The 8,739-nt window shown below is 54.8% G+C and overlaps 1 long non-coding RNA gene across 1 annotated transcript; it reads right to left on the bottom strand.

The window, feature by feature from the left end:
• Positions 1 to 1,534: 1,534 nt before the first annotated feature.
• Positions 1,535 to 4,116, bottom strand: LOC124903897 (uncharacterized). Its single transcript, XR_007065580.1, has 2 exons — positions 4,076 to 4,116; positions 1,535 to 1,738 (listed from the first exon to the last, which is right to left on the bottom strand). It is a non-coding gene; the product is annotated as an uncharacterized LOC124903897 (long non-coding RNA).
• Between the last annotated feature and the right edge of the window lie 4,623 nt (positions 4,117 to 8,739).

The following is an 8,739-nucleotide window of genomic DNA, read 5'->3' as shown; positions in this document are numbered from 1 at the left end:
GGTTTGTGCGTACATTTTCTGCATCTGGATATACGTTCTTTCTCAGCAGCTGGAACAGCTGGCTTTGTTGAATTTTCTGGAAGCGTCTGAGGCACCCTAAGTCCCTGAGCAGGACAGTGGTGAGAAGTGGTCTTGGCGGAGGGAGGGAGAGGGAAGGGCTGGCTCAGGAGGTGACCGGGCTGCAGTCCAGGGTACAGCTGAGGCTCCTGGGCGGGTCCGTGGCCACTCCTTGGGAAGAACTGCCTGTTTCACAGGGGCTCAGGATGCCAAGGTCTGGTCCGGGTAGGAGCCATAGCTGCTGCTTTTGGGGCAGAGGTCCCTGTGGTGTCACAGGAGTGCCTGTGACACCAGCCCAGTGACCTCCCATCCCCGCTTAGCCTTGGACACTGGTACAGACTTTTGGGACCCCACACCTCTGTTCCCATGGTACAGCCCTCCAGGGCAGCGACGAAAAGAGTCATCCTTAAGGTCACACAGCCCTGAGCTTGAATCCAAGCTTTGCTACTTAAAAATTGTGTGACCTTTGGCAGGTCATTGGAGGAGCCTCAGTTCCCTTATTGATTTAATGGGAATGTTCCCGTGGGGTGTTTTGTTTGTTTGTTTGAGATTTTTTGAGACTTGCTCTGTCACCCAGGCTGGAGTGCAATGGCAAGATCTCGGCTCACTGCAACCTCTTCCTCCTGGGTTCAAGCGATTCTCCTGCCTCAGCCTCCCAAGTAGCTGGGACTACAGGTGCCCGCCACCATGCCCCAGCTAATTTTTTGTACTTTTAGTAGAGACGGGGTTTCACCATGTTGGCCAGGCTGGTCTTGAACTCCTGACCTCAGGTGATCTGCCCACCTCGGCCTCCCAAAGTGCTGGGATTACAGGCGTGAGCCACCGCGCCCACCTCCCATGGGGTTTGAATGCAAACAATGCAAACGTTTTCGTCTGCTCTCACACTACAACAGTGAACACAGAAGACTTCTGTGACCGGCTGGGCGCGGTGGCTCACGCCTGTAATCCCAGCACTTTGGGAGGCTGAGGAAGGCGGATCATGAGGTCAGGAGATCGAGACCATCCTGGCTGACACGGTGAAACCCCGTCTCTACTAAAAATACAAAAAATTAGCCGGGCACCTGTGGTCCCAGCTACTCAGGAGACCGAGGCAGGAGAATGGCGTGAACCCGGGAGGTGGAGGTTGCAGTGAGCTGAGATTGCGCCACTGCACTCCAGCCTGGGCGACAGAGCAAGACTCCGTCTCAAAAAAAAAAAAAAAAAGACTTCTGTGACCAACCATGTGGAGTCCCCCCCACCCCCATATCCCTTCTGCAGCAGACCCCAGCCAGGTGTCTTCTAACTCAATTCCGACACTGTCTGCTTGGAAACAGTATCGGATCCCACAGGTTGAGGACACAAGCCTACAAGACAGTCCCTCAGTCAGACACCAGTCATGAGTCCCAGCCTCTGGAGTTTCTGTCCCACCGGCTTCAAGTTGGGGTTCCCACAACCCTCTCTTTGGGTTTGATTAATTTGCTGGAGCGGCTCACAGAACTCATGGAAACACGTTTACCGGTTTATTATAAAGGATTTGGCAAAGGATACAGATGAGGGGAGATGCACAGGGCAAAGGACGGGGGAGGGGTGGAGAGCTTCCATGTCCCCCCAGGATGCCACCCTCCAGGGACCTCCATGTGTTCAGCTCTCCGGAAGCTCCTCAAACCTTGTCCTTTTGGGGTTTTTGTGGAGGTTTCAATACCTAGGTATGATTGATTAAATCATTAGCCATTGGTGATCACCTTAACCTTCAGCCTCTCTCTCCTCCCCAGAGGTAGGGGATGGGCCTGACAGTCCCAACCCTCTAATCCTGCCTGGGTCTTTCTGGTGACCAGACCCCATCCTGAAGCCACCTAGGGGCTGCCAGCCACCAGTCAATTCGTTAGCAAAGAAAAAGCTATCCCTGGCCTGGTGCGGTGGCTCACGCCTGTAATCCCAGCACTTTGGGAGGCCGAGGCGGGGTGGATCACGAGGTCAGGAGATCGAGACCATCCTGGCTAACACGGTGAAACCCCGTCTCTACTAAAAATACAAAAAATTAGCCAGGCACGGTGGCGGGCGCCCGTAGTCCCAGCTACTCGGGAGGCTGAGGCAGGAGAATGGCGTGAACCCGGGAGGCGGAGCTTGCAGTGAGCCGAGATCGTGCCACTGCACTTCGGCCTAGGCGAAAGAGTGAGACTCTGTCTCAAAAAAAAAAAAAAGGGAAAAAGCTATCCCTTTGGAGATCCTCAGGATTTCAGGAGTTGCATGCCAGGAAATGGGCTCGAAACCAAATATGTTTCACAGTACTGCAGGGTTCTTGTGACGGTAAATGAAGTCCTTGTGCCAAGCGCCTGGTACAGAGCTCAGCACGTGGTAAATTCTCAGCAAATGACACCCTTAAAAGGAAAGGCCTCTCTGCCTCGGGGCTGCCGGACCCAGCCTTGGGGGTCACGGTCTCAGCACGTCCTACGTGACTGGTATTTGCCCAGCTGTGGAGCTTCCCTCTGGGTGAAGCTGCCCTCTGGGTCCATCAGAGCTGCTGAAGACCAGGAGGGAGACCAGGCTATAGGCTGCCCAGTGGGGTGATCAGGTTTTCCATCTGAGAAACAGACCAGAGCTGCTCCTGCCTGCTTCCTGGTGGTCCCACAAAGCTCCCGTGAGGGGCTGTACCATGCCCTCTCCAGGAGGGGTGCTGGTGGTCAGGCTGAAGCTCCCCAGACACCAAGACCAATAAGCCCATCTTGTTCTCATTTCCTCCCCACCACTGGAGCCCCTCAAATGCAGCCTCGCCATCTCTCACCTCCTCACTGGTCTTCTAGCCTTGGTCCTTGGCCCTCTGGTCCATGCCCTCCCTGGCTGCCCGAGTGATCTTTCTGAGCACCCACCTGACCATGCCCCTCTCAGAACCCTGCCATGGTCCCCACGGTGCTCAGCCTGGTGCTCAAGGCCCCGTCAGCCTCTCTGGATGCCCTCCCCACTCATGTCCCACCCTCTCACCTTGCTCCCATTCCTCTTCAGGCCCAGCCATTCCGGCGGGACACTGCCTCCCCTCAATCCCTGCCCCTGCTTGTCAAGCTTGACCCCGCCCTCCAAGGCCTGTTCAGCAGCTGGAAAAATCCAGAGGTGGGTTCATTGAAATGGTCACCAGATTGATACAGAATTACAGCACAGGAGGGCACCGGCCAAACTTCTCACTCGGTCCCCACCAGAGTCCAAGAGGGACCGTGCCTAAGGCACTGGAGCTTTCACAAGGACGAGATTCTCCATGCCCTCAGGCGCTCCCGCTCCTTTAAGGCAATCTGTGCCAATATCCATCTACCTCCCTCGGAAACCCACCCCAAAGCTGAGAAAGGGCTCCCCACTGCAGTCTGTCTGCTCCCTCCACCCCAGCCCCATTCAGTTCGAAGGGGTAGTTCTAGAATCTCCTGGGGAGCTTTTAAAAAATCCTCATGCCTGGGTCGACCTTCAGAGATTCTGGTTCAAATGGTCAAGGATGCCGTCTGGGTGTCAGGATTTTTTAAAATATATATTTTATATTTAAAAAATTATTTTAGGCCGGGTGTGGTGGCTCACGCCTGTAATCCCAGCACTTTGGGAGGCTGACGCGGGTGGATCACAAGGTCAGGAAATCGAGACCATCCTGGCTAACACGGTGAAACCCCGTCTCTACTAAAAATACAAAAAATTAGCTGGGCGTGGTGGCAGGCGCCTGTAGTCCCAGTTACTGGGAAGGCTGAGGCAGGAGAATGGCTTGAACCCGGGAGGCGGAGCTTGCAGTGAGCCGAGATTGCGCCACTGCACTCCAGCCTGGGCGACAGAGTGAGACTCCATCTCAAAAAAAAAAAAAAATTATTTTAGCAGTTTTAGGTTTTTAGAAAAATTGAGCAGAAGATACTGACAGGGCCAGAGTGGTGGCTCATGCCTGGAATCCCAGCACGTTGGGAGGCCGAGGCAGACGGATCACTCGAGGTCAGGAGATCGAGACCATCCTGGCTAACACGGTGAAACCCCGTCTCTACTAAAAATACAAAAATTAGCGGGGCATGGTGGCGGGCACCTGTAATCCCAGCTACTCAGGAGGCTGAGGCAGGAGAATCGCTTGAACCCAGGAGGCGGAGGTTGCAGTGAGCCAAGATCACGCCATTGTACTCCAGCCTGGGTGACAGAGTGAGACCCTGTGAAAAAAAGAAGGAAGGAAGGAAGAGAGAGAGAGACAGACAGTTCCCATATATCCTCTCAACCTCCACCTCCCGCCCCCCAATTTCTCTTATTATTAACATCTTGCATTGGGGTACATTTGCTTCAATTTATGAACCAATATTGATACATTATTATTAACTAAAGTCCACGGATTACATTAGGACTCACTGAGTTGTATTATTCTATAGTTTTTAACAAATGTATAATGACATGTATTCACCATTACAGTGTCACATAGAATAGTTTTGCTATGGCCGGGCGCGGTGGCTCACACCTGTAATCCCAGCACTTTGGGAGGCCGAGGTGGGCAGATCACAAAGTCACAAGTTGGAGACCAGCCTGGCCAATATGGTGAAACCTTGTCTCTACTAAAAATATAAAAATTGGCTGGGCGCGGTGGCTCACGCCTGTAATTCCAGCACTTTGGGAGGCCGAGGCGGGTGGATCACGAGGTCAGGAGATCAAGACCATCCTGGCTAACACAGTGAAACCCCATCTCTACTAAAAAAACCAAAAAATTAGTTGGGCGTGGTGGCGGGCGCCTGTAGTCCCAGCTACTCGGGAGGCTGAGGCAGGAGAGTGGTGTGAACCCAGGAGGCGGAGCTTGCAGTGAGCGGAGATCACCCCACTGCACTCCAACCTGGGCGAGAGAGCAAGACTCTGTCTTAAAATATGTATATTAGCTGGGCATGGTGATAGGCGCCTGTATCCCCAGCTACTCCAGAGGCTTAAGGCAGGAGAATCACTTGAACCCGGGAAGCGGAGGTTGCAGTGAGCCGAGATCAAACCACTGTACTCCAGCCTGGGTGACAGAGCGAGACTCTGTCTCAGAAAAAAAAAAAAGTTTTGCTGCCCTAAAAATCCTGTCCTTTACCCATTCATCTCTCCCCCTCCTTTCTCCCTTTGATAACGACTGATCTTTTTACTGTCTCCATAGATTTGCCTTTTCCAGAATATCATATTGTTGGAATCACATAGTATGTAACCTTTTCAGCTCTCCAGGTGACTTTCTTTTTTTTATTGATCATTCTCGGGTGTTTCTCGCAGAGGGGGATTTGGCAGGGTCATAGGACAATAGGAGGGAAGGTCAGCAGACAAACAAGTGAATAAAGGTCTCTGGTTTTCCTAGGCAGAGTGTTTGTGTCCCTGGGTACTTGAGATTAGGGAGTGGTGATGACTCTTAACGAGCATGCTGCCTTCAAGCATCTGTTTAACAAAGCACATCTTGCACCGCCCTTAATCCATTTAACCCTGACTGGACACAGCACATGTTTCAGAGAGCACAGGGTTGGGGGTAAGGTCACAGATCAACAGGATCCCAAGGCAGAAGAATTTTTCTTAGTACAGAACAAAATGAAAAGTCTCCCATGTCTACTTCTTTCTACACAGACACGGCAACCATCCGATTTCTCAATCTTTTCCCCACCTTTCCCCCCTTTCTATTCCACAAAACCGCCATTGTCATCATGGCCCGTTCTCAATGAGCCGCTGGGCACACCTCCCAGACGGGGTGGCTGCCGGGCAGAGGGGCTCCTCACTTCCCAGTAGGGGCGGCCGGGCAGAGGCGCCCCTCACCTCCCGGACGGGGCGGCTGGCCGGGCGGGGGGCTGACTCCCCCACCTCCCTCCCGGACGGGGCGGCTGCCGGGCGGAGACGCTCCTCACTTCCCAGACGGGGTGGCAGCCGGGCGGAGGGGCTCCTCACTTCTCAGACAGGGCGGCCGGGCAGAGACGCTCCTCACCTCCCAGACAGGGTCGCGGCCGGGCCGAGGCGCTCCTCACATCCCAGATGGGGCGGCGGGGCAGAGGTGCTCCCCACATCTCAGACGATGGGCGGCCGGGCAGAGACGCTCCTCACTTCCTAGGTGGGATGGCGGCCGGGAAGAGGCGCTCCTCACTTCCTAGATGGGATGGCGGCCGGGCAGAGACGCTCCTCACTTTCCAGACTGGGCAGCCAGGCAAAGGGGCTCCTCACATCCCAGACGATGGGCGGCCAGGCGGAGACGCTCCTCACTTCCCAGACGGGGTAGCGGCCGGGCAGAGGCTGCAATCTCGGCACTTTGGGAGGCCAAGGCAGGCGGCTGGGAGGTGGAGGTTGTAGCCAGCCGAGATCACGCCACTGCACTCCAGCCTGCGCGCCATTGAGCACTGAGTGAACCAGACTCTGTCTGCAATCTCGGCACCTCGGGAGGCCGAGGCTGGTGGATCACTCGCGGTTAGGAGCTGGAGACCAGCCCGGCCAACACAGCGAAACCCGTCTCCACCAAAAAAATACGAAAACCAGTCAGGCGTGGCGGCGCGCGCCTGCAATCGCAGGCACTCGGCAGGGTGAGGCAGGAGAATCAGGCAGGGAGGTTGCAGTGAGCCGAGATGGCAGCAGTACAGTCCAGCTTCGGCTCGGCATGAGAGGGAGACCGTGGAAACAGAGGGAGAGGGAGACCGTGGGGAGAGGGAGACCGTGGGGAGAGGGAGACCGTGGGGAGAGGGAGAGGGAGAGGGAGAGGGAGAGCGAGAGGGAGAGCTTTTTTTTTTTTTTTGAGACGGAGTCTCTCTCTGTTACCCAGGCTGGAGTGCAGTGGTGCAGTCTCGGCTCACTGCAACCTCTGCCTCCCAGGTTCAAGCGATTCTCCTGCCTCAGGCTCCCAAGTAGCTGGGATTACAGGTGCCTGTCACCATGCCCGGCTAATTTTTTTGTATTTTTAGTAGAGATGGGGTTTCACCATGTTGGCCAGGCTGGTCTCGAACTCCTGACCTCGTGATCCGCCTGCCTTGGCCTCCCAAAGTGCTGGGATTACAGGTGTGAGCCACCGACAGCAGGGGTTGACATGAATAGCCCTGGTTTAGAATTTGGTAAAGGGAGGTGGTGGCTCTGGGGTTCTGTGTTACTAAATCTAGTATGGGCAAAAGTCTCATTTCCTTTTGATATGTCCATCTGTCTGTCATCCATCCATCCATCCTTCAATATTTGTCCCGGGCCTTCTGTAACCAGGCTCTGAGTTAGACACTAAGCCAAACCATCACCGTCGCTGCTCTCATGGTTCTCGCATTCTGCTGCAGGAGACAGACACGAATCAAGTTGCCATGCATGTGCTTGGATGATTTTGAAGCGACGGGCGCTTTACAGGAAAGGCCTGTGGTGAGTGGCTCTCTGAGAGTAGTCAGGAAGGCTTCCCAGAGGAAGGAAGGTTCCAGCTGTGATCTGAGGTTCAGACAGAACTCACTAGACCAAGGGAAGGAGGGGGAAGAAAGCTCTGAGCAGGGAGCCTGGCTTGTGCAAGGGCCTGTGGGAGGAGGGAGAATGGTGCTTTCCAAGAACCGAAGTGTTGATGCTGGGAGTGAGGAGAGAGTCGTGAGAGATGAAGCTGGAGAGCGGACGGGGCTGCAGCATGTGTACCGAAAAGACAGATCACTCAGGCCAGGCGCCGTGGCTCATGCTTGTCACCCAGGCACGGTGGCTCATGCTTGTAATCCGGATGTGGTGGCTCATACTTGTCATCCCAGCACTTTGGGAGGCCAAGACAGGCGGATCACTTGAGCCCAGGAGTTCAAGACCGGCCTGGGCAACAAACTGAGACCCCATCTCTACAAAAAACAAAAATTAGCTGGATGTGGTGGTGCATGCCTGTGGTCTCAGCTACATGGGAGGCTAAGGCAGGAGGATCACTTGAGTCCAGGTGGTTGAGGCTGAGGGAGCCAAGATGGCACCATTGCACTCCAGCCTGGGCAACAGAGCAAGAACCTGTCTCAAAACAAAGAAACAACAGAAAACAAACAACAACAACAACAATGAAGATTTCTCTGGCTACAATGTAGAAGGATGGGAATAGAAGAACCAGAAAAACAAGAGAGGGCAGTGAGGAGGCCGTGGCAGTGTCCACTCAAGGGATGCTAGTAGGATGTGGCCAGGATGAAAAGAAGCAGACGGACATGAGGGATATGCGGGAGGCCAGAGTGACAAGACCATGCATGGGCTGGCCATGCGGGTGGGAGAGGAAGGGGTCAGGGGGGCCCCAAGCTTCCAGCCACGCCCACCTGGATCGACTGTGGTGCTGATCAGGGAGGGAGCGAACGCAGGAATGGACCCGCCTTGCTACATTCAAAGGAAGATGTCCAGGAGGCAGCTGGACATGCGCATCTGGAGCTCGAGGGAGAGGCGAGAACTGGAAATGGAGACGCGGGGGCCCTCAGCGTGTGGACGGCCGTGGAGTTGGAAGCCATGCGTGTGATGAGCTAGTCGAGGGAGTGAGAAGGGGCCCAGGATTGAGCTCTGGCAGAATGCCACTGTTGTGGAAGTTGAAGAACCTGCAAAGGCCGTAGGGCAGGAGCGGTGGAGAAAAAAGAAAACCATGAGTGGCATGATCACAGCAGAGCGTGTGTGGTCTCAGGAACTGGGAGTGGCCCTCAGCATCCATGATGCCGAGTGCTCAAGGGAGGTGAGGAGAAGATCGAGAAAGTGAGAGACATGGCCGGGCACGGTGGCTCATGCCTAGAATCCCAGCACTTTGGGAGGCAGAGGGGGGTG

This window comes from Homo sapiens, chromosome 17, assembly GCF_000001405.40.
Source record: "Homo sapiens chromosome 17, GRCh38.p14 Primary Assembly".
Lineage (NCBI taxonomy): Eukaryota > Metazoa > Chordata > Mammalia > Primates > Hominidae > Homo > Homo sapiens.
This window is presented reverse-complemented; position numbering and strand designations above follow the sequence as displayed.